This window comes from Homo sapiens, chromosome 1 (assembly GCF_000001405.40).
Source record: "Homo sapiens chromosome 1, GRCh38.p14 Primary Assembly".
Classification (NCBI taxonomy): Eukaryota; Metazoa; Chordata; class Mammalia; order Primates; family Hominidae; genus Homo; species Homo sapiens.
In genome coordinates, this window is record NC_000001.11 from 114,982,262 (window position 1) to 115,008,651 (window position 26,390).

Consider the following 26,390-nt stretch of genomic DNA (forward strand, 5'->3'; position numbering starts at 1 on the left):
TGGAGTTCCTGCCTCACTTGTCTTGGGAGTTGAAAAGGATCTCAATTGTCTCCATCCCACTAAGTTTAAATGTTACGCCTTTTCCTTCTCAGTTTCCCAGTTGTGTTTGATGGTGTCTGCAAGGTGTCTGCAAGTCTCTGAGACTTTGTTTTTCTTCATTTTTTTTCTATTCCATATCAGTTGAATTATATTCAGGCTCATGGATTCTTCTTCTGCTTGCCCAAATCTGCTATTGAGCCCTTCTAGTAAATTTTTCATTTCAGCTATTGTATTTTTTAATTCCAGAATTTCTATTTGGTTCTTTTGATAATTTATTTCTTTTTATTGATATTCCATTTAGTGAGATGTTGTTTTCATGCTTTTCTTCATTTCTTTGACATAATTTTCTTTAGCTCTTTGAACATATTTAAAATAGCTGACTTTAAATCTTTGTCTAGTTAAGTCCAATGTCAAGGCTTCCTCAGGGAGAGTTTCTGTTGTTTGTTCTTTTACTTTTCTATTTGGGCCATACTTTCTTCTTTCTTTGCATGTCTCATATTTTTTGTTTAAACTGGCCATTTAAAAATATAACAACTCTGGAAATCAGATTCTCTCCTATTCCCATGATTTGTTGTTGCTACTTGTTGTAGTTATTGTTTGTTTTGTGACTTTTCTAGACTAATTCTGTAAAGTTTGTATTTTTTGTTGTGAGTGCCACTAAAGGTTCTCCTTGATTAGCTTAGTTTTTAGCTAATGTTTGGACACAAATTTCTTCAAATGCCTAGAATGAATAAATTTCCCAATCTTTGTCAAAGGTCTCTATTATATGTGTATAAGGGCATGCTTTCAACACTTAGCCAGGTAGTTGACAACTCTGCCTTAGCTTTCCATTCCTGCTTGTAGAGAATCTCAAGATTAGCCAGTGGTGAAAACTTAGGGCCTTTTCAGGACCTTCCTGAGCCTATAGATAGCCCTACACATATGCGTGGCCTTCTATATTTCCAGGAATATATCAAGGCTTTTCAAAGCTTCCCCATGGATATTTCATTTCCTAGCTTTTCTTTCAAGGTTTTTGGTTAGTCTTTTGTTTGTCCCAACTATTCATCACTGCTTCACGTTGCTGCAAAGTTAAAACGTTTGTTGTTTTTGACAAATTCTGCCCCCTACTTCACACACACACCAAGGAGAAGGCATTTTTTCACTAGTGAGCCCTCAGGTTGAATGTAATCAGCTATCAGCCTTGTAAGTGGGATCTTGCAGAGACTCACCAGACAAATCAAATACTGACAATTCTTTGGGAATAAAGCTTTGAAAGAGCTTCAGTTCTGTTCTGTTCTGTTCTGTCTGGTGGTTGCCAGGCTGCCCCAGGAACGTGGGCTGTTATTCTTTAAGGATAACATAGAGCTAGAGCAGGGGATGGGACTGGGGAAGTTAAGACACCACGAAGTTTGGGTTTCCTAAAGAGGTTTAGCCATTTTATTTTATTTTTTTAAAGAATAAGCACTCTCCAGGTGGCTGCAAGCCTTTGGTTAATTTCCAGAGTTCTGAAAAAAACTGATTCCGACAAGTTTTTACCAATATTTTTATGGCTTTTATGGAGGAGTGAATTTTTAGAGCTCATTACTCTGCCATTTGTACTGATGTCTCTGACCTTAACTTTTTAAATTACATTTAATTTAATTTTTGTTTTTGCTCTGTTGCCTGGGCTGGGCTGCAGTGGCATGATCATGGCCCACTGCTACCTTGAACTCCTGGCTCAAGCAATTCTCCTGCTTCAGCCTCCTGAGTAGCTGAGGCTATAGGGATGGGCCACCATACCTGGCTATGTTTTTTTAATTAAAAAAAATTTTAGAGTTGGGGTCTTGCTATGTTGCTCAGTCTAGTTTTGAACTGGCCTCAAGCAATCCTCCTGCCTTGGTCTTCCAAAGTGCTGGGATTACAGGCATAAGCCACTGTACTTGGCTTTTGACCTTACTTTTTAAAGATACTTTTACAAATTATAAAAATTACAAGATAGTATAGAATGTGAAACATTGACTAATGTGAATTACTTTACCAATATAAAAATAAGCAAGCATATTTTCTCACAATGTAATAAGGTGTTTTGTAGAGAGAGCAAAGCTCACTCAGTTATTTTTTTCGATCATGATTAGAAATATTAAGGCCCCTAAGATTGTTGATTGCTGAATCTGGAGTGTGTCTGTCTCTCTGTTTCACTCTTTCTCTTTCTTATTTTCTTCAGCAAGTTAAAGGAAAGGCAGAGAAAGTCTACCATTGTAAATTTTTGAAGAAAGACAACTTATAGTATCAAAAACATTTGAATTAAATTCTTATCCAAAATTTTTGCCTCATATACTTGCCAATAATAATGGAGGTTTCTGATTGCTAAGGACTCAAATTGCCTTAAAATTATTTGTGAAACCCTTTATTAATAATGCATATTTTATTTGATATGATAATGTATGGTTTTTTATTTTTGGATAGGCATATACAGTGAAGACACCAACAAAACCAAAACTACAGCAAAGAGAAAACTTGAATATACCCATTGAAGAAAGTAAAAAAAAGAGAAAAATGGCCTTTGAATTTGATATTAATTCAGATAGTTCAGAAACTACTGATCTTTTGGTAAAAATTTTACAAATAATATTTAGTATTTATTTATATTACTTATTTGTATACTATTTTCCTTGATATACATGTATAATATATTTACATAGTACCTACCATTGCAATACTGATATACAGTGGAGCTCTGCTAAAATGCAGATCCTTGTGCTTTTGCAGCATTTCAGAAAAATTAGGGTTCAAATAATTTCCCTGTAAATTTCAGAAAACCTGGCACTTTGAAAATACTTGATATAGCACAATGGGCATACGATATGATTAATCATTGTCTTGTTTTCTAGAAGAATGTCATAAAGGAGTTCTTACTATATTTTTAAAAAGAGAGATGGAGTGAATATTTTACTGTGCCAAATCTGTTATTTAGGCGTCCCCTCTATTTTGCATATTATACATGCTCCTTTTACATCACTGGTTGATATTTATATCAAGGTATTGGTTGACAACTATAACATTTCCATCACTCTAAAGAAGTTAATGTATTAAGGACAGCATGTTTAAGCAGGCTATTTCCTCTAGCACTTTGTATCACTAATTACTCCCATTCACATATACCACTGTTTTCTGAAGGCATAATAATGGTTTATTGAGAATAATGAAGCTTAGATTCATTTAATTTTTTTAAAAAGGTGAACCATACCAGAGTAAATGGAGCAATGCACCAAAAATTCTTAATGACAAAATCCCAGTTAAATTCATTTGTTTTATTATTCCCACTTATAACTAGAAGATCCTTCAAGCTTTTCTACTACTTTGGGACCTTCTATTTTCATTTTTTTCTGGAATAATGAGTAGTTGAAGTCTTAAAACCCTAAATATTGAAGTTAACATATAGAGTCCCTACTTCAGAACCCCTTTGTTTTATAGATAATTATCAACATCTTAACAATTAAAACTGTGAACCAGGTACTATTGTAAACACTTTATACAACGAAGATTACTTTAATTATTTCTTATAACAATTCCAGCCTTTAGAAATACAGTTGGCCTTCTGTATTCACAGGTTCTACATCTGTGTATTCAACCAACTACAGGCCAAAAAATTTGAAAAAAAAAAAAATAAATAACAATTCAGTAGAAAATAATATAAATAAGAAAGCAATACAACATAACTATTTATATAGTGTTTACATTGTATTGGGTATTATAAGTAACCTAGAGATGATTAAAGTATACAGGAGGAAGTACATAGGTTACATGCAAATATTATATCATTTTACATAAACATCCACAGATTTTGGCATGCATGGAGGGATCCTGGATCCAATCCCCCATGGATACTAAGAGATCACAGTATATACTGTTCTTTCCAGTTTACAGATGAGGAAACTGAGTCACACAAGTATATTTTTCAAGATCACATAGTTAGTAAGACATGGAACCAAAATTTGAACACAGTCTGGCTTCATAGACTATGTAAGTCATTGCACATGATAACTGCCAATTCAAAATGTAGTCCAGATATATAAAAATGTAATGAGAATTAGAAAGAAAATGAGCTTTAGAATTAAACATTCTAGGATTGTAATCCCTGTTATTATTCTAGCAGTTTGAGTTTAGGCCAATTTCTTAGCTGATCTGAGATTCAGAATGATTCAACATGATTCATTTCATTTCTAAAAGGAGCATCACAAACTTGCAACACAATAAACATATTACAGTATTATAGAATTGCACACAATTGTTCAAACTAGTCTAAAAACACATTTCACAATCAGTTTCCTGGTTATAATTATTATATGAACCTATTAGTCATTTTGTAATTTTCTTAGCTTATGTAGTTAAATTTTGAACATTCAAATTATAAAAATTAAGATTTAAAAATGGGTTGTTGAGCATGACCTCAGGAAGATGGTGGAGTAGGAAGTGCCAGGAATCCATCTCTCTACCTAGACAAAAAGTATACTGGCAGAAACTGTCTGAAGTAACTATTTTATAAGTATGCAGTCTTATTTGAATGTTTATAGCTTCCAGGGGAAAGGTTAGCTGGTAAATTGCAGTTAATTTAGGTTGATTTCAGCCTAAAATATGATAGCAGCTACCAGTCTCCCCAGCCTACAGTCCTGTGTCAGGAAGCCATGCTCATGTTCCCTGAGTGACTTGCTGGTGCCAGAGGGGGCAATAGGACTTGTCCTTCAAACATCAGAGTTCAGTGTTTCAACCCCCACTGGCTGAAGCAACTTCCAGGAATTTACATGAAGCACATCTATCTTTTTTTTTTTTTCCTTTTCTCTTTTTCCATCTTTACCCTTTGGGAAGCCAGGCATTTAAGGATTAGGATATTCAAAAGCAAAGCAAAAAGGAATTTAGCTATAGCACATGTTTAAGCAAAGAGGCTTAAAAAAGACGGGAGAAGACCATAAGCTTTTATCTCAGGCTGATCCCTGGCACAGACTTTCAACAGTAAAACAAAAGAAAACAGAACACAAACAAAAACAGAAAATCCCGGGGAAGAGGGAAAATCTTATTTCCAGAGTTACCAAAGTATAATATTCAAATGTCCAGTTTTCAACAACAAGGGCCAGGCACAATAGCTCACGCCTGTAATTTCACCACTTTGGGAGGCCAAGGTAGGAAGGTTTCTTGAGGCCAAGAGTTTGAGACTAAGTTGGGCAACAGTGAGACCCTCTCTATACAAAAATTTAAAAAATTAGCCAGGTGTGGTGGCACATGGCCTGTAGTCTAACTACTCAGGAGGCTGAGGTAGAAGGATCACTTGAGCCCAGGAGTTCAAAGTTATAGTCAGCTATGATTATGTCACTACACTCCAGCCTAGGTGACAGAGTGAGACCTTGTCTCTAAAAATTTTTTTAAACCAAAAGACCAATAGTAACAAATCATAAGGCATACAAATAAATAGGAAAATATGATCCATTCAAAGGAACAAAACAAACCAACAGAAATTATCCTTGAGGAAGCTCAGACATTGGAATTACTAGACAAAGACTTCAAAACAGCTGTCTTAAAGTAGCTCAAATTGCTAAAGGAAGACATGGACAAAGAAAAAAAAACCCTAATTTTGTGTGAATAAAATGAGAATATTGATAGAGAGTTAGAAATTATAAAAAGAACCAGAAAAAAACTCTGGAACTGAAAGTACAATAACCGAAATGAGAAACCCACTAGAGGGATTTAAAAGCAGATTTGAGTAAGCAGAAAAAAGAATTGGTGAACGTAAAGATAGACAATTGAAGTTACTGAGTCTGATAAACGGCAAAAAAAAAAAAAAAAGAAAAAGAAAAGAAAAGAAAAGTGAACAGAGCCTCAGAGTCTTGTAGCACACCATCAGCTGGGCCAATATATACATTGTAGGAATTCCAGAAGGAGAAGAGGGAGAGAGGAAGAGGTGGGGGGGTAGACAGAGAGAGAAAAAGAGAGAGAGAGGTGGAAAGAGTTATATGAAGAAATAAATGCTAAAAACTTCCCAAATTTTGATGAAAGACATGAATATACAAATTCACGAAGCTCAACAAACTCCAAAAAGCCCCCATCAAGACATTTTATAATCAAACTGTTGGGAGAAAAAATGAATCTTGAAAGCAGCAAGAGAGATGCAACTCATTACATGCAAGTTATTCTCAACAAAATTATCAGCTGATTTTTCATCAGAAATGTTAGATGCCAGAAGACAGTGAATTTATATATTCAAAGTGCTGAAAGACCAAAATTATCAACTGAGAATTTTATATCCAGCAAAACTGTCATTCAAAATGAAGAAGAAATTGAGATATTTCCAGATAAACAAAAGCCATAAAGAGTCTGTTACCACTAAACCTGCTCTTCAAAAAGTACTAAAGGGACATCTTCAGATGGAAAGGCTGCTAGACAGTGAAGCTGTATGAATAAATAAATATCTCTGGTAAACGTAAATACATGGGCAATTTATAAAAGCTAGTAGTATTGTTATTCTGGTTTGTAACTTCAGTTTTTATTTTCTATATGATTTTAAAGACAAATGCATATAAATGGTTAATTTATGTTACTAGGCGCACAATGTATAAAGATGTAGTTTGTGACATCAATAACAGAAAATGGGCTGGGCACAGTGGCTCACACCTGTAAACCCAGCATTTTGGGAGGCTGAGGCAGGTGGAAGTTTGAGACCAGCCTGGGTAACACAATGAGATCCTGTCTCTACAAAAAATATGGAAATTAGTCAGGCATTGTGGTGCACATCTGTAGACCCAGGTACTTAGGAGGCTGAGGTGTAAGGATCATTTGAGCCTGGGAGGTCAGGGATGCAGTGAGCCATAATCACACCACTGACCTCCAGCCTGGGTGACAGAATTAGATCCTGTCAAAACAAAACAAAACAAAAAACCAAAAAAAACCCCAAAAACAAAACAGGGAAGATGGAGCTGTGTAGGGGCAGAGTTTTTATAGGCTATTGAAGTTCAGTTGGTATAAATTTGAATTAGATTGTTATAGCATTAGGAAGTTAAATGTAATCTCCATGGTAACTACAATGAAATTATATAATATACACAAAAAGAAATGAGAATGGAATCAGAATGTTCAAGTACAAAAGTCACCTAAATGGAAAATAAGACAGTAATGGAGGAGACAAAACCCTATAATAATGGAGACAAAACCCTATAAGACATATTGAAAACAAATAGCAAAATTCAGAGCTATGTCCTTCCTTATAGATCATTACTTTAAATGTAAATAGATTATACTCTCCTATCAAAAGATATAGATTGGCAGAATATATTTTAAAAACATGAAAACTATATGCTGTTTTCAAGACACTCATTTTAGATCCAAAGCCACAAATTGATAAAACGTGAAAGAATGGAAAAAGATATTCTGTGCATATAGTAACCAAAAAATAGCTGAAGTGTCTATACTACTATCAGACACAATAGACTTTAAATTAAAAAGTGCAAGAAACACAAAGGACATTAATAATAAAAAGTTTAATATAGCAAGAAGATATGACAATTTTAAACATGTCCACGCCTAATAACAGACCTTCTAAATATATGAAGCAAAACTTCATAGAATTGAAGGGAGAAACAGACAGTTCTAAAATAATTGTTGGACACTTCAGTAACCCACTTTCAATAATGAATAGAACAACCAGACAGAAGATAAGGAGATAGAGGACTTGAACAACACAATAAGCTAATTAGGTCTAACAGACATGTATAACATTCTACCCAACAACAACAGCATACATATTCTTTCAGGTGCCCATGAGACATTCCCCAGGATAGATCATATGTTAGGTCACAAATCTCATAGGTTTTAAAGGATAGACATTACACAAGATATTTTATTTGACCACAATGGGATGCAGTTAGAAATCAATAAGATAAGGAAAACTGGAATATTTACAAATTTGTGGAAATTAAACAACACACTCTTAGCCAATCAGTGGGTCAAAGAAGAATTCACAAGGGAAATTAGAAAATACTTAGAGATTAATGAAAAGGACAACACAATATACCTAAACTTATGGGATACAGCAAAAACAGTGCTCAGAGAGGAATTTGTAGTTATAAGTGCCTATTAAGAAAGATCTCAAATCAATAACCTAACTTTATACCTTAGTAAAGAACTAGAAAAAAAAGAGCAAACTAAACTCAAACCTAGTAGATTGAGGGAAATAATAAAGATTAGAACAGAGCTAAGTTAGAGAATAGAAAACAAGAAAGTCAATGAAACCAAAAATAGTTGGTTCTTTGAAAAGATCAACAAAATAGGCACACCTTTAGCTAGAGAGAGAGAACAAAATTAAAAATGAAAGTGGGGATACTACTGACCGTTCAGAGATAAAATGAATCATAAGACAATACTATAAATAATTGTATGCCAACAAATTAGATAACCCAGAATAAATGGAAATATTCCTTATAACTCACAAATTCCTTAGATGAACTCAAAAAGAAATAGAAAACCTCTATAGACCTGTAACAAGTAAAGAGTTTAAATTGGTAATCAAAAACCTCAACAAAGAAAAGTTCTGGACCAGTTGGCTTCATTGATAAATTCTACCAAATATTTAAAGAATTAACACTAGAGCTTCTGGATAACTGAACACAGGGAATTTCCCACAGGGTGGCACACCCAAGAAAGGCATGAAAGTGCCATGCACCTTCCCCCATACCTTGCCCTACGCATCTCTTTATCTGTATCCCTTGCATACAGATAATATTAGTAATCACCTCACGGCTTTTTGAGAATAAGTTAAATAATGCTTATAAAATGTTTAGCAGATCATCTGGCACAGGGCAAATGATCAATTAATATTAAAATTGTGATTATTATTATTGGAAGCTTGAATCCAAATACACTGATAGAGGAGTATAAATTGGTAAAAACTTCTCAGAATAAAAATTTGACATATATGTTAAGACCTTAAAAATAATTAACATCAATTCTTCTTAAATTCTTCCAAAAAGTTGAAGAAGGAACACCTCCTAACTCATTGTATGAGGCCAGCATTAATTACCTTGATACCAAAGCATATAAAGGCACCACAAGAAAGGAAAATTACGGACCAATATCTCTTATGAATTAGATGTAAAACTACTCAACAGAATATTGGCGAATCAAATTCAATAGCATATTAAAAATTATTTGCCATGGCCAAGTGGAATTTATCCCAGGAATGCCAGGGAGGTTCAACATAAGAAAATAAAACAGTGTAATAAACCACATTAATAGAGCAAAGGAAAAAATAGCCATATCATCATCGTGATGCAAAAAAAGGTACCTGGCAAAATCCAACATGCTTCATGGTAGAAAACCTCTCAGAAAATTAGGAATAGAGGGAAATCTCCTCAACATGATAAAGGGTATTTATGGAAACCCCTAGCTAACATCATACTCAATGGTGAAAGACTGAAAGACTTACCCCCTAATATTAAGAATGAGGCAGGGTGCCCACTTTCACTGCTGCTATTCAACATTGTACTGTAAATTCTAACTAGAGATACTATAAAAGAAAAATAATAGAAGGCATTCAGATGGAAAGGAAGAGGTAAAACTGCCTCTCTTCACAGATGACATGATCTTATGCATAGAAAATTGCGAAGACTCTTTAAGAAAGCTATTAGAGCTAATAAATAAATTCAGCAAAGTTGTAGGGTACAATATCAACATACAAAAATTGATTATGTTTTTATATACCAGCGATGAACAATCAAAAAATGAAATTAAGAAAGAAATTCTATTCACAATAGCATCTAAAAGAATTTAAATACTTAGGAACAAATCTAACCAAGGAAGTAAAATACTTGTACACTGAAAATTACAAAACACTGGTGAGAGAAATTTTGAAAGACCTAAATAAATGGAAAGACATCCTATGTTTATTGATAGAAAGACTAAATATTGTTAAGATGTCAGTGGTACCCAAATCTCCAGATTCAATGCAATTTCTATAAAAATTCCAACAATTTTTTTTGCATAAATGGAAAAAATACTCAAATTAATGTGGAATTGCAAAGGGCCCCAAAAGGCTAAAACAATCTTGAAAAATAAGGATAGAGTTGGAGGACTCACAGTTCCTAACTTTGAAACTTACTACAAAGCTAGTAATTAAAACAGCATAGTACTTGTATAAGGTCAGACAGGCAGACCAATGGAATAGAATAGAGAGCCTAGAGATAAACCCTCACATACATAGTCAGTTGATTTTTGACAAGAGTGCCAAGACCATTCAATGGGGAAGGAACATTTTTTTCAACATATGGTGCTGGGAAAACTGTCCACATGTCAAAAGAATTAAGTTGGATCCTTTATATCATATAAAAAATGACTCAAAATGGATGAAAGACCTAAACTTAAGAGCTAAAACTATAAAACTATAGACGAAAACACTGTCAAAATCTTCATGACACTGGATTTGGCAGCAACTTTTATGGATGACACCAAAAGCACAGGTAATGAAAGAAAAAAAGATAAATTGGACTGCATCAAAATTAAGAACTGTTGTGAATTAAAGGAGACTATCAAGAAAGTGAAAAGACAAGGTAAATAGTGAGAGGAAATATTTAAAAATCATATATATGACAAGGGATTGATATCTAGGATATATAAAGAACTCCCACAATTAATAACCACAAAAAGTCCCAATTGAAAAGTGGGGAGAAAAGATTCGAATAGCCATTTCTCCAAAGATGAAACATAAATGGCCTATAAACACATGAAAAGATGAATGCTATGAAGAGTCATGAGGACAGATGATAAGGTTTTGTTGTTTTAAATTGAATTAACTTATTAATCATTTTTATATGGAGACTCATGATGAATAATCAATTACCTTGCACTAAGTAAAATTGTAATGATAGTTTAAACCACATGATTTTAAAGATAATTTATCTTGTTTAAGCTGGTCAGTTGGTACACACTGATTCTGAGTATATCTGCAAAGGTAGCTCTATGACTTATTTATTGAATTCTGTTGAAATCTTAGATTTATAAAAATCTGTTTGAAATTTCTCATCCACAAAGCTTCTGAAGTTTTTGTTAAATGTGGCTTTAATGAGCATGAAAAAATTGTGTGAACTGACTGCTTACATGACTAAATTGTGTTTCATATTCATTAAGAGAAGGGATTCTGGAGCCAGATTACCTGAATTTGAATTTCCTTCCACCTCTTCCTAGCTATATAATCTAGGGTACATTACTTAATATTTGTATGCCTGAGTTTTCTCACTTGCAAAATGGGGATAATGGTATACCTACTTTATAAAATTGTTATGAAGATTAAAAGGAATTAAAATATGCAAAGTGATTAAAATAGAGACTGGTACTAGAAAGTACTAAATAAGTGTTAGCTATCATTATTTGGGAGAATTACAATAATTGTAAATTAAGTGACAACATTATATTTATTTCTTATTTTGGTATAATACACATAAAACTTACCATCTTAACTCTTTTTAATTATATAGTTCAATGTTATTAAATACATTTATAATGTTGTGTAACCATCACCACCATCCAGCTCCATAACTCTTCATCACAACTAAAACCTTCTACCCATTAAACAATAACTCTTTATTCCACTTTCCCCCAGGCCCTGGCAGTCACCATTCTACTTTCTGTCTCTATGATTTTCCCTACACTAAATATCTCATATAAGTAGAATCATACAGGATTTGTTCTTTTGTGACCATTTTTTTTTTCATTTATGTCCTCAAGGTTTATCTATGTTGTAGCATATATCAGAATTTTCTTCCTTTTTGAGGCTGAATAATATTCCATTGTATGTATACACCACATTTTGCTTATTTATTCATCCACGGATGGATACTTGGGTTGCTTCCATGTTTTAACTATTGTGAATAATGCTGCTATTAACATGGGTGTACAATTATCTCTTCAAGACTCTGCTTTCAATTCTACTGAGTATATATCCAGAAGTGGAATTGCTGGATCATAGATAATATTATAAGTTTTTTTAGAATTATAAATACTTGTTATAAGCTATAAATGTGAGTTTGAATAAACGGGGTCAGGGAAGGAGGACAAGATGGCATTATAAAGACTCTGAAACTGAAATAGAAATCAGTAGAGAAATGCTACTCGCTATACATGTCTTGTATTTCACATAGCCTTTCAGTAATACAGTTAATAGAATAAAAATCTAGGTCCTTTCTTGGCCAATTGATTTATTTTGTTACTGTTTTCTTTGTTTGGTCTTCTTTCTTCTCTCTATAATCTTCTTTCTCTTTCCTCCTCCCTTTGCCCTTCTCCCTTCTACATCCTTCCTCTTTCTACTCTTTGTTCTCCTCACATGTGATATGTTGACAAAATGTTAATAATATAATATTAATGATGGTAAACCCAACATCATATTTTTTTATTTTTCTTCAAGAGCATGGTTTCAGAAGAAGAGACATTGAAAACACTGTATAGGAACAATAATCCACCAGCTTCTCATCTTTGTGTCAAAACACCAAAAAAGGTAGCTTTTAAATTTTATTTCAGAAAGCAAATTTTAAAAGCTGCACTTAAAAAATTAAACATGTTATGATTTTTAAATTTTATTTTGTACTCAGGCCCCTTCATCTCTAACAACCCCTGGATCTACACTGAAGTTTGGAGCTATAAGAAAAATGCGGGAGGACCGTTGGGCTGTAATTGCTAAAATGGATAGAAAAAAAAAACTAAAAGAAGCTGAAAAGTTATTTGTTTAATTTCAGAGAATCAGTGTAGTTAAGGAGCCTAATAACGTGAAACTTATAGTTAATATTTTGTTCTTATTTGCCAGAGCCAAATTTTATCTGGAAGTTGAGACTTAAAAAATACTTGCATGAATGATTTGTGTTTCTTTATATTTTTAGCCTAAATGTTAACTACATATTGTCTGGAAACCTGTCATTGTATTCAGATAATTAGATGATTATATATTGTTGTTACTTTTTCTTGTATTCATGAAAACTGTTTTTACTAAGTTTTCAAATTTGTAAAGTTAGCCTTTGAATGCTAAGAATGCATTATTGAGGGTCATTCTTTATTCTTTACTATTAAAATATTTTGGATGCAAATACGTGCTTCTTATTGATTCTGTTAGGTCCTATAAACAGCTCATCATTATAATTTTGAGGGAATATTATTCATTGTAAAGTCTTGAGAGCATTGTAGAGGAGTTTTGTACTTCTGAGGCAGCTTTGACTTTTTTATTTTATGAAATTGAGAAATGGCTTTTAGTGGCAGGAAAAAGTGGCTATACCAGTATGACTTCCTGAAATATTTAATTTATACAACATTTATTAAGCAAATATTTATTAATGTTTACTAAGAGTCAAACAGAGTTCTAGATACTGGGGATGTAATAGTGAACAAAACAGAAAAATAACTTGTGTTTTCCTAGAGCTTACATTCTGGTGAGGGAAATAGACAATTAACAAAATAAATAAAACACAGTATATTAGTTAATGATAACTGCTAAGAAGAAAAATAAAACAGGGAAGAGTATTAAGGAGTATAAAGAAGGCTATATTTTAGGTATGATATCCCTTACTGAAGTGACATTTGAGTGAAGATATGATTAAAACAGCAACTGAGCCTGGGGTTACCTAAGGGAATAACATTTCTCATAGAAGGAATAGGAAGTACAAAGGCCCAGAGGTGGGAGTGTGCCTAGCATATCTGGGAAGCAGCAAGAGCCCAGTATTGGGAAGGATAGTGAGGAAAAGGAAGAGTAGAAGGAAGAGAAGGCCTAATAGTTAATGGGATGAGGATTTTGAGTGGGCAGATTATGTAGCACTTTAGGCCACTGTAAGAACTTTGGCTTCTCTGAATATGATGTGACATTAGTAGATGATTTTGAGCAAGGAAGAACCATGATCTGACTTATGTTTTAACAATATCTTTCTGGCTGCTATATTGGGAACAGATTGAAAAAGGGACATAAATAAACAGGAGATTATTTTAGTAATGCCTGTGAAAGATGGTAATGGCTTAAACAGGAGCAAGAGCAGCAGAGGAGTAAAGTAGTTAACTTTTGGATATATTTTGAAGATATAGGTAGAATATGAAAGAAAGAGAATGGGCAATATTTTTGTCCTGAACAGCGTAGTTTTGCACATGTTAGGTTTGAAATACCTGTGAGACATCCAAATAGAGATGGTAAGCAGGCTTAGAGACAAGTCCAGACTAGTGATATAAATTTGGGAGTCAACATCATATTTAAAGTTATCAGACTGGATGAGAACATTTACAGTCATGGGAGTGAGTGTACCTAGGAAAGAGAACAGGTCAGAGAGATGAGAAGGGGCCATCAAAGGACTGGCCAGAGTGGTAGTAAAAAAAGTAGGCTATGGTTTCTTGGAAGCCAAGCAAGAAAGTGTTTCAAAGAAGAGGGAGTGAAAAATTGTGTTAAATGCTAATCAGAGGTAAAGTAAAATTGATTAATGTGTTATTAATATGAAGGTCATTGGTAATCTTAATGTCAGTTTTAGTAAAGTGGAGCTTGATTGGAAGGGCTTAAAGGAAAAAGGGGGAGAGTAAGCAGAGACAGCTATCTCTATCAGGTGTAATAAACTCAAGAAGTTGTACTTCACATGAAGATGATAAATAGGGAAGTTACTGGAAAGGGAAATGGATCAACAGAAGGTTTTTTTGTTAAGACATAAGAATTAATAACATATCTAAATAATTAGAGGAAGATTCAGAATGGGGAAAATGATGATGTGGGAGAGAAAGGGAAATTTTTTGTAGAATGTCATAACAGGGAAGAGGGATGGAATTTAGTGGGTAATTAAACCTGTTGGGCCTTCAGTAGGAGAATAGACACTTCTGCCATAGCAACAGGAAAAAAGGAAGAGTATATGGCGCAAGAAGATGGTAAGTGTATGGGAGTTTGTAGAAGTTTTGGTTCCATAATTTCAGTTTTCTCAGTGAAGCTGGAATTAAGATCATGCACTGAGAATGAGGATAGGGAAGACAGTGTTGGAGGTTGTGGAGAGAAAAGTAAGTATGAAAGACTCAGAGTAGGAAAGTAAATGGGCTTTATGAAAACAATGAATACATGAATAAAAATGGTTTTAGAGTTATCTGTAAATAACTATAGTGAAGTAAAATTAGAATCCTCTTATGGTATAGATTATGTTTGTAGGAAAGGCTAACCAAGAAAAAATGGAAATGCAATAACATTACAGAAATTATTTTGTTCCTCCTTTAATTTGTGTGACTACAACTATACTCTCTTAACTGGCCATGGTCTTGTGATTTCTAGCTTTTGATCTCTTAATTGAAACTTTATAATAAGTCTCCTGAGCAAGCATTTTTGGAGAATTATTGGTCTTGAAAATGTGAAATTTCACATTTGAAGCTATATATTTTCAAATATTAAAAATAATAATATAAATAAATATATTTTCAAATTAAAATAACTAATATATTAATCTATACATTTAATGTAGTTTTAATTTAAATATTTACAATAAGACTAGTCTGTTAAGCTATATATTTTCAAGTATTTAGAATAAGACTAGCTGCTCTGGCTAACTATAGATTTACTTCTAACTTACCTAAAGTCCAACATAATGTTTCTGTTTAGTGAGAACCATTCCTCTAGGCAGTCATTCAGGAACCCTGGCTCCTTTCAACTTCTAATTCTGCCATCTTCAGGAGCTGGCTTCCAGGTTTATGCTAAAAGGGAAACACCATGGAGTATCCATGTGGGAAGTTTCTAATGACCTAGCATGAAAGAGATTATATAGCACTTCCACCCACATTTCACTTTCTAGAACCAAGTCAATATGGCCACACCTAACTTCAGGGGAGACTGTGACCCATGTTCCAGTTATCTCTCAGGAGATTAGGGAAAAGGGTAAACAACTAGCCAGTCTGCCACAATTAGTTCACAGTCTTTAAATTTTCAAATATTGTTCTTCCTTGCTTTTAGTTAAAACAAAATGAGTTAGTTAAGGCTCCTAAGTTTTGGAAGATTGCTTCTCCTTGCTGTTCCTTGAACATTCTGGGTGTCTTCCTGCTTTATAACGCCCCTCCTTCCTCCAGCATTTCTTATTTATCTTATACCTTCTAACATACTATATACCTTATTTGGTATGTTTATTATTCATTGTCTCTCCTCACAAGAATGTAAACTTCACAAAGGGATTTTTGTTTCCTTTGCTTTGGCTTTCCTTTCCAAGTGGCTAGAATCATGCCTGGCCCATAGTAGGTACTCAATATTTGTTGAATAAGTAAAATATTAATACATATTTAAGAAAAACATACATATACCATATTAGTGATTCTTACAATAAGTAAAACCTTACAACCTAAATGTTGAGTGTCTGATTTAAAAATAAGATTAGATGTTGGAAACTAGAAAAATCATGAAATTTTCTAAAAGCATATTATTATAGTATCCTATATTTGACTCTTCTTTGCACTCTGGAGAGTTCAGTTTTTACAATAAAGTCTCCCCCAAAAATTTATAACTAATATTATTGTTTTTACTTTTAAACTACTCCTTTAAAAACCACTAGTCTTAATGAACAATTGGCAAATTCATAATTTGATTATTTAATTATGAAAATTTTGTAAGCTAAATACGAGATTATTAACTAATGCCTTTTTAAACATTGAATGCATTTTGGAGGTTATTATAGGAAGCAGCTTTTGAAAAAGCCTATTTTTAAGTTGGTAGGAAACTCTTCCTGCCTTTTAGCCACTTTTTGTGAGATTGACTTAATCTGATACATTTAGGATCAATCAGATGTGTTTAGAAGTAGGCATATGGGATACACACTATTCTCTGTCTCTCTCTTGAGTGTGGAGCTTCCTACAGGAATCACATGATCATCCCTATGCTGCAAGTTTTATAGGGCGGGTGGAAGAGTGGTCCTGTTGTGAGGGGATAAATTCAATAAAATAAAAATTCAGAAGAATATTTGCAAGTTCCAGTATTTTGATGAATAGGCTGGGCACTTTGAGAAGGAAATAGAGTGGCATTCAGAGGAATTAACATACAAATATTGAAACTCTGATGTGGCTTTGGTGGCACTAATCTGGAAAATAGCCATATAGGAATTTTCACTTGTTGGGTCTTTATAGCTTATGGTAGTCTTATCTTTACATGAGTTACTGTTTTTACAGAAACAGGCTGCAAGTTCTGGGTGTTAAGTGAATAGTGCATAAGCTTTATCTGAAGCAAAAATGAGCATTTAATATGTCTGCAGGCCATAAACTTCAGAAGATGCATGGCCTGAAGGGGCCTCAGCCAAATTATTGGCTATTAAAAAACAAATATTAGCCACGCTAGACTGGGCAAAGAGGTGAGACTCAGTCAGAGATAATACTTTGTGTATATTTTGATGATGGAACCAAAAAGATTTCTGGAGATAAGAATTAAGTGAGGGAAAGAGAAGGGACAAAGTTTGGTTTTGAAGTACGGTTTTGGGCATATGTAATATTTGAGATATTTTAGATACCCAAGTGGAGATATTGAGTAGACCATTGGATAAATGAATCTAGAATTCTCCAGAAGGGTAAGTATTTAGTAATCATTGACATATAGGTTCTATTTAAAGTACAGAACTGAATGCACTCTTTTTACAGTAATAAATGTTAGTTATAAAACAGAAAGGAATTAGTACCAAGCCTTGAGGTAAAGGAATATTTGAAAGTGAAGCAATAAAGGAAGAGCCACAAAAAAGCTAAGAAGGAGGGACTGCTGTAGGAGGGAAAAAGCGAGTGTAAGGGATGATGGAAGCCTAAAGAACAAAGTGATTCAAGAAGGGAATATTCCCCTGTGTGAAATCCTAATGAGCATGAAAGCAGAAAATAAATAATTGGACCTATGGCTATATGTATGATATAATCTCTGCTCTCAATGACTCACAGTCAAGGAGCAAAATTTTATATGTAAACAAATGAATCAATTGTAATTAATTGGACCGTACACACATGTAAGAGCTACAGAGAAGTGAATGATAATTTCATGACATAAATGCAGGCATCAGAGAAGGACTTCTGGGTTTTGGACATAAATGGGAGTGCTATAGGTGTATAAGGAGGACAAGAGACAACCAAGACATAAGAAATCGCAATATAAAGGATGAAGTGAAGAATAGTTAGGAGAACCAAGCCATGGTATCTTCATGTAGGATTTTATGTGTTATATTGCAAAGCCTGGACTTTTCTGGTGTGGGAAATGGAAAGAGAATAAGCAAAGAAAATCAGACTTTATTATTTAAATATGGTATTAAAATGTTTTTATTTCAATAAGCTTTGGGGAACAGGTGGTATTTGGTTACATGGATAAGTTCTTTTGTGGTGATTTGTGAGATTTTGGTGCACCCATCACCTCAGCAGTGTACACTGTACCCAGTGAGTAGTCTTTTATCCCTCACCCCCTCCTATCTTTCCTCCGCGAGTCCCCAAAATCCATTGTATCATTCTTATGCCTTTGTGTTGTCATAGCTTAGCTCCCACTTATTAGTGGGAATATACAATATTTGGTTTTTCATTCCTGAGTTACATCACTTAGAATAATGGTCTCCAATTCCATCCAGGTTGCTGCAAATGCCATTATTTCATTCCTTTTTATGGCTGAATAGTGTTCCATGGGGCTGGTTCCATGTTTTTGCAATTGTAAATTGTGCTATAAACATGCATGTGCAAGTGTCTTTTTCCTATAATGACTTCTTTTCCTCTGGGTAGATACCTGGTAGTGGGATTGCTGGATCAAATGGTAGATCTACTTTTAGTTCTTTAAGGAATCTCCACACTGTTTTCCATAGTGATTGTACTAGTTTACATTCCCACCAGCAGTGTAAAAGTGTCCCCTTTTCACCATATTCATGCCAATATCTATTGTTTTTTGATTTTTTGATTATGGTCATTCTTGTAGGAGTGAGGTAGTATCACTTTGTGGTTTTGATTTGCATTTCTTTGATAATTAGTAATGTTGAGCATTTTTTTCATGTTGGTTGGCCATTTGTATCTCTTCTTTTGAGAATTGGCTATTCATGTCCTTAGCCCACTTTTTGATGAAGTTGTTTTTTTTTTTTTTCTGGCTGATTTGATTGAGTTTCTTGTAGATTCTGGATATTAGCTCTTTGACAGATGCATAGTTTGCGAATATTTTCTCCCACTCTGTGGGTTGTCTGTTCACTCTGCTGATTATTTCTTTTGCTGTGCAGAAACTTTTTAGTTTAATTAAGTCCCATCTATTTACCTTTGTTTGTGTTGCATTTGCTTTTGGGTTTTTCTTCATGAACTCTCTGCCTAAGCCAACATCTAGAAGGGTTTTCCTGATGTTATCTTCTAGACTTTTTATGGTTTCAGGTCTTTGATCCATGTTGAGTTGATTTTTGCATAATGTGAGAGATGAGAATCCAGTTTCATTCTTCTACATGTGGCTTGCCAGTTATCTCAGAACCATTTGTTGAATAGGATGTCTTTCCCCATTCTATGTTTTTATTTTCTTTGTCAAAGATCAGTTGGGTGTAAGTATTTGGGTTTATTTCTGAGTTCTCTATTCTGTTCCATGGGTCTATGTGCCTATTTTTATTACCAGTTGCATGCTCTTTTCATGACTATAACCTTGTAGTATAGTTTGAAGTTGGGTAATGTGATGCCTCCAGATTTGTTCTTTTTGCTCAGTCTTGCTTTGGCTATGCGGGCTCTTTTTTGCAGTCTACATATTTAGTGCAATTCCTATCAAAATACCACCATCATTCTTCACAGAACTAGAAAAAACAATCCTAAAATTCATATGGAACAAAAAATATAGTATTTTTAAATTTAAATTTTACAAAAGGTTATAAAGTATAAGGTCTCCTAACTCTATCATCAATGCCCCAACTTGAGGAAAATACTTTTCTTTTGGAAGACAACTAAGGATAATTGGAACTGGATAAAGCAATTGCAACTATTGAAATAGTCCAGTTAAGAGATAATGTAACCAAAATGCAGTTTAGTTGCTTGCCGCATCCAAACAACAAATGGGAGGTCTGATGCATATGTCTTGCCATACTGCTTCACTTTGGGAGTAGAAATCAGGCACTTTCATAAGGTAAGGGAGGAAATGAGCAAGGGCAAGTGTCCCCCTGCTAGCTCAGTGCCTTATCTATCTGGCAGTTGAATTGGTGCTGTCCTGGGAAGAACTAAGTTGTAAAAGTGGCCAAGTGGGCATGCTTTTGACATGCCCTCCTGAGGTGACCTCCTGGAGGTGAGAATTCCATAGTGGGGTGCAAGGGGCAGGCTTTGGTCTGCAAATTGACTGTCAACTCTCAAGGAGAGATCCATCTAAGAGCACATACATGAACTTCCCCTGTAGGGAATGTCTGGTGAGTGGGAGATGAAAGGTTATATTTGTGTTTCTAAAGGACTAAGTAGGAAGTAGGGAACAGGGGAAATGAGAAGAGAGGAAAAAAAATTAAACCACCTCTTAGGAAGATAGGGGTATTCGATTACAATGGGAAAATTTCTTAGGTTGAAAGCTTAAGTTCCAAACTTTTGGATTAGATCTAATACCTGTCCTGAGAAAAATATTCATAACTTTATCACTCTAACAGTAATAAAATGTTTTCTACTTCATGTAAATTTAAATTAATGATGTCAAAGAGCAAGTTGCTTTGGTTGATATAAAGGTTAGAAATAAATTATTAATAATTTAGGTAACCTGAATTCAGTATAATTAATACTCCACAGACTATTGTAGTACATCAGGAACTTTAATCAATGACAGGTCAACCATGGGTTAGAAATACAAAATGACAAACAAGAGACAGATAAGACAACATTATTTAAGTTACAAAATCAGAGTTTAGAGATGAAGGGAACCAAAAGGATCATTTAATTTCAAAAGATCAGTCATTTGAGTCCTATAAAAGCAATAAAAATGAAAAGGATAGTTTTAAAAAAAATGACTCTAAATTTCAGTATACATATACATAATTTACACTAATGCATAAATATGAGCATATAAAATCTTAGTGCCCTCCCTTTTTTTCTTTTGCTTTTTCCCTCAACCTCTCTCTTCCCTGCTCCACATACTTGAGTCCCCCTCGGTTAACTTCTACTCTCTTAGGTAACCCTCGACAAGAACCTACTGTGTAAACTTTCTTATTTTTCTCCATGACAGAAAGACAGTTATAATGTATTTAGTAGTTTGTCATATTTTTACACATATATACATACACATAGGATTTTCTGGTTATGGTTAAATTACAAACATGGGATAATATGTATACTTTTCAGAGTCTTGCTTTACTCAGTGTCATGGAAATCTCTCTAAAACGTGGTAAATCTCTCTACACATGTGGTATGGTTGCAGTTTATTCTTTTTAGTGGCTGTATAATATTTCATGGGTGTATAACAATTCACTATTTCTCTATTAAAAGGTGTGGTAGAGACCTTGATCACTTATATCTAATCTTCTCTTCTCCCAGGCACATGAGAAGATTATACTTCCTCCCTCCTTAGTGATACTATGTTTTAGCAAATGAATTTTAAGTAGAAGTGATGTGTGTTAATTACTTCTGTGGTGTGAGACCCTCTATCACACCCTTCTTCTGTTGCAGCAATTTGTGGTATTATAGATGACAAAGTCTCTGTCACCCTCAGTTCCTGAAGTGAAAATTGCATGGAACAAAGTTCTCCCATTAACCCACTGTGGTTATGTAGTAATGAATTTGATTCACCATATAAAACTGAAAATTCAACAGGGGCAGTGAAATAGGAGGACTGAAGTTCCCTAGCTACAAATTAGTCCTGTGTGCTCTCTCCATCCTCAGAAACCTCTCTCCTGTCCTAGAAGGACGTGCAATGTAAGTAGAACCCATATTACCAGATTGGTGTCTTTTTTTCTTTTTTTTTAAGGTTGGAGGTTGGTGTCTTAAAGTAGCCATTATAATTACCTACTTGCTTCTCCCAGGTTCTTTAAAAATTGCAGTACAGAGCCCAGCACTGTCCCAGCCACTCCAGAGGCTGAGGTGAGAGGATCACCTGAGCCCAGGAGTTCGAGGCCATCCTGGGTAACATAATGGAAACTTCATCTCTAAAAAAACACAAAAGGAATATTGGCATACTTGGAGGATTGGTTCCAGGACCCTCTGTTCCCTGCTGATATACCAAAAATCCATGCCTCACAATTCAACCTGCAAAACCTGTGTATACAAGTCTCAGTATATGTGGTTGTGACAGAATTCATGGGATACAGAAACCCACAAATTATATTTTTTCTTTTTCTTTCTTCTTTCTTTTTTTTTTTTTTCGAGATGGAGTCTCACTCCTGTCACCCAGGCTGGAGTGCAGTGGCGTGGTTTCAGCTCACTGCAACCTCCACCTCCCAGGTTCAAGCGATTCTCCTGCCTCAGCCTCTGGAGTAGCTGGGATTACAAGCATGTGCCACCATGCCCCGCTGAATTTTGTATTTTTACTAGAGACGGGGTTTTGCCATGTTGGCCAGGCTGGTCTTGAACCCCTGACCTCAGGTGATCCACCCACCTCGGCCTCCCAAAGTATTAGGATTACAGGCGTGAGCCACTCTACCCGGCTGAATTATGTATTTTCAATCCATGTTTGGTTGGAAAAACATCTGCATATAAATGGACCCAAGCAGTTCAAACCTGTGTTGTCAAAGATCAACTGTAGATTGCAGGCTGTAGTTCCCATGAATTAACACATGAGAGCTATCACAGGGAGGCTCTGGCCAGTGATAGGTAGCTATAGTATATGACATGCCAGATGGGCATGATGGGCCAAGAAAGTAGATGGGTCATCCTTGGACCCATCTACTTTCTTGGCCTCATCTACTTTCTTGGCCTGTCAGGTTCATTTGGCCTGTCATGGATCTTGAGATTCATGTTTGGGTCTCAAGATCCAAAAAAAGGTTATGAATGTGGCATGGTCTCACCCTTCAGATACCCTGTGGCAGGGAGAAGTCAGTAATGAGATTTTTGTCCAGTGAATTTGTATCCTGCAACTTTGATAAAGTCAATATATTAGTCAAGGTTCTCTAGAGGGGCAGAACTAATAGGATAGATGTATATATAAAGGGGAATTTGTTAAGGAGTATTGACTCATATGATCATAAGATGAGGTCCCACAATAGGCCATCTGCAAGCTGAGGAGCAAGGAAGCCAGTCTGTGTCCAAAGCTGAAGACCTTGGAGTCAGATGTTTGAGGGCAGGAAACATCCAGCACAGGAGGAAGATGTAGGCCAGAAGACAAAACCAGTCTACCCTTTTCACATTCTTCTGCCTGCTTTTATTTTGGCTGCACTTGCAGCTGATTAGATTGTACCCAACCAGACTGAGGGTGGGTCTGCCTTTCCCAACCCACTGACTCAGATGTTAATCTCCTTTGGCAACATCCTCACAGACACACCCAGGAACGATATTTGACATCCTTCAATCCAACCATGTTGACAATTTTTTTTTTTTTTTGAGACAGAGTCTCACTCTGTCACCCAGGCTGGAGTACAGTGGTGCAATCTTGCCTCACTGCAACATCCACCACCTGAACGATTCTCCTGTCTCAGCCTCCTGAGTAGCTGGTACCACAGGCGCACGCCACCATGCCCAGCTAATTTTTGTATTTTTAGTAGAGACAGCATTTCACCATGTTGGCCAGGCTGGTCTCGAACTCCTGATCTCCAGTGATCCGCCTACCTCGGCCTCCCAAAGTGCTGGGATTATAGGCATGAGCCACCGTGCCCAGCCTGACACTCAATATTAACCATCACAAGTCCACCCCTTGTCAACTTGAATCCATACACATCTCCTGAAATCACACATAATCTTCAAATAAAGGCAGTAATAAGGTCATAATTACACCTAACATAATACAACTATCCTTCATACAATGGGAAATGCACAATCCCCAACCCAAATGCTATTACATAAAGTTAACACTTAAATGCTGATGTGAAGTCAATAAATCTTATGTCACATGATAAAGGAAAAAGGAAATAAAATGATCTTTTCTTAGTACAAGTGTACGCATGGACAAACATGTTCTTAACAAAAGAAGGAGGAAATATTCATGACAATTACAGTCATTGTTTCTGCAACTGGTCATGTGGTCATAGCTGGTATTGATGACTACCTTCTTTTACTACCCATGCTATATTCCCTTTGCCTTCAGCAAGCACCTCAGCTGGTTGTGGTTTTTTTCCTGGTGGAGTGACACAAACCTTCATTCCTGAAGGGTCTGTCCCATTTGTAGTCCTGCCTGGATCGGGCTATTGTAGCTTCCCATTGACCTTAATCACAGGGCATGGGAATACTAAGAGATGCCCTAAGGGATCTCCTGTATTCCAGACATACTCTTCCTTACCTCCATTGTGGAGTAGTAGACTGATTTCATCTTGATAGTCCAGGTCAATCACCCCAGCCAACACTTTAACTCCCTTCTTAGGCTGTTGACTTAAAGGTAGGAAGAGCCCAAAGTGTTTAGGTGGCAATCTTAACTTCCAGTTTAGTGGAATCATTGTTGTGTCTCCTGGTGGCAGCATTCCTCCCTCTGGAATCTAAGACATCTAGGCCAGCAGAACATAATGTTGCAGGAACAAGAAGCAAAAATTTTGCTAGTGGGTCACTAGGGGTGATGGTGAGTGGTGCCAGTTCCACTTCCACCCATTGATTTCTGGACCCGTGAATCCTGGCTATGGGAGAAACAGTACCATATATTGGATGCTAATTCAGAGTATACACAGCCTTCTGGAGAACTTTGCCGCAGCCTTGCAAAGTATTATTACATAGTTGGTGTTGTAATTGTGACTTCAAAAGCCCATTCCACCGTTCTATCAATCCAGCTGCTTAAAGATAATGGGGAACATAGTAAGACCAGTAAATTCCATAAGCATGAGCCCACGGCTGTACTTCTTTAGCCATAAAGTGAGTGCCTTGGTCAGAGGCAATGCTGTGCAGAATACCATGATGGTGGATAAGGCATTCTGTGTGCCCATGGATGGTAGTCTTGGCAGAAGCATTGTGTGCAGGATAGGCAAAGCCATATCCAGATAAAGTATCTATTCCAGTGAGAACAAACTGCTGCTCTTTGCATGATGGAAGAGGTCCAACATAATCAACCTGCCACCAAGTAGCTGGATAATCACCCCCCAAAGAATGGTGTCATATCAAGGGCTCAGTGTTGGTCTCTGCTTCTGGCAAATTGGGCACTCACCAGTGGGTGTAGCCAGGTCAGCCTTGGTGAGTGGAAGCCCATGTTGCTGAGCCCATGTGCAACCTTCATCCCTGCCACCATGGCCACTTTGTTTATGGGCTCATTGGGCAATGATAGGGGTGGCTGGGGAAAGAGGCTGAGTGGTGTCCACTGAAAGAATCTTCCTATCCATTTGATTATTAAAATCCTCCTCTACTGAGGTCACCCGTTGGTGAGCACTCACATGGGATACAAATATCTTCACAATCTTCGACCACTCAGAGAAGTCCATCCATATACCTCTTCCCCAAATTTCTTTGTCACCAATTTTCCAACAATGCTTCTTCCAAGTCTCTGACCATCCAGCCAAACCATTAGCTACAGCCCATGAATCCATATATAATCGCATATCTGGCCATTTCTCCTTCCATGCAAAGTGCACAACCAGGTGCACTGCTCAAACTTCTGCCCACTGGGAAGATTTCCCTTCACCGCTGTCCTTCAGAAATGACCTGGAAAGGGGCTGTAGTGCTGCAGCTGTCCACTTTTGGGTGGAGCCTGCATATTATGCAGAACCATCTGTGAACCAGGCCCTAGTCTTCTCTTCCTCTGTCAGCTGATCATAGGGAACTCCCCATGAGGCCATTGCTTCAGGCTAGGGGAGAGAAGGCAGGGTGGCAGGAGTGGAGACCATGAGCATTTGAGCCATTTCCTCATGCAACTTACTTGTGCCTTCAGGACCTGCTCAAGCCTGATCATGTGTATACCACTTCCATTTGATGATGGAGTGCTGCTGTGCACACCCCACTCTATGGCTAAACGGGTAAAAAAGCACAATTCATGATAGGCAGTTCAGGTTGCATGGCGACTTGACCCGTAGTCAAATGTTCAGTTTCCACCAAATCCCAGTAACAGGACAAGAGCTGTCTCTCAAAAGGAGAGTAGTTATCTACAGAAGATAGCAGGGCCTTGCTCCAAAATCCTAGAGGGCTCTGCAGTGATTCACCTGTGGGAGCCTGCCAAAGGCTCCAAACAGCATCCCTATCTGCTGCCACTGACACCTCAAGCACCATTGGATCTGCTGGGTCATATGGCCCAAGTGGCAGAGCAGCTTGCACAGCAGACTGAATCTGTTGCAGACCCTTCTCCTGTTCTAGACCCCACTCAAAACTGGCAGCCTTTGAAGTCCCTTGATAAA

The 26,390-nt window shown here is 36.1% G+C and overlaps 1 protein-coding gene across 10 annotated transcripts in view; it reads left to right on the plus strand.

Annotated features, from left to right (window-relative positions):
- The window catches only part of SYCP1 (synaptonemal complex protein 1), a 141,283-nt gene extending 128,174 nt beyond the window's left edge, over positions 1-13,109 (plus strand). For 9 of the 10 annotated variants that reach the window (XM_017002184.2, NM_001282541.2, NM_001282542.2 and 6 more), the window contains 3 exons: positions 2,464-2,607; positions 12,437-12,526; positions 12,621-13,109. In XM_017002184.2, the coding sequence (XP_016857673.1) occupies positions 2,464-2,607; positions 12,437-12,526; positions 12,621-12,758 (372 nt within the window). In that variant the 3' untranslated portion in view covers positions 12,759-13,109. Of the gene's footprint in view, positions 1-2,463; positions 2,608-3,917; positions 4,021-12,436; positions 12,527-12,620 lie in introns of all 10 variants that reach the window. The other variant, NR_104211.2, reaches the window with a different exon arrangement.
- Positions 13,110-26,390: the final 13,281 nt, after the last annotated feature.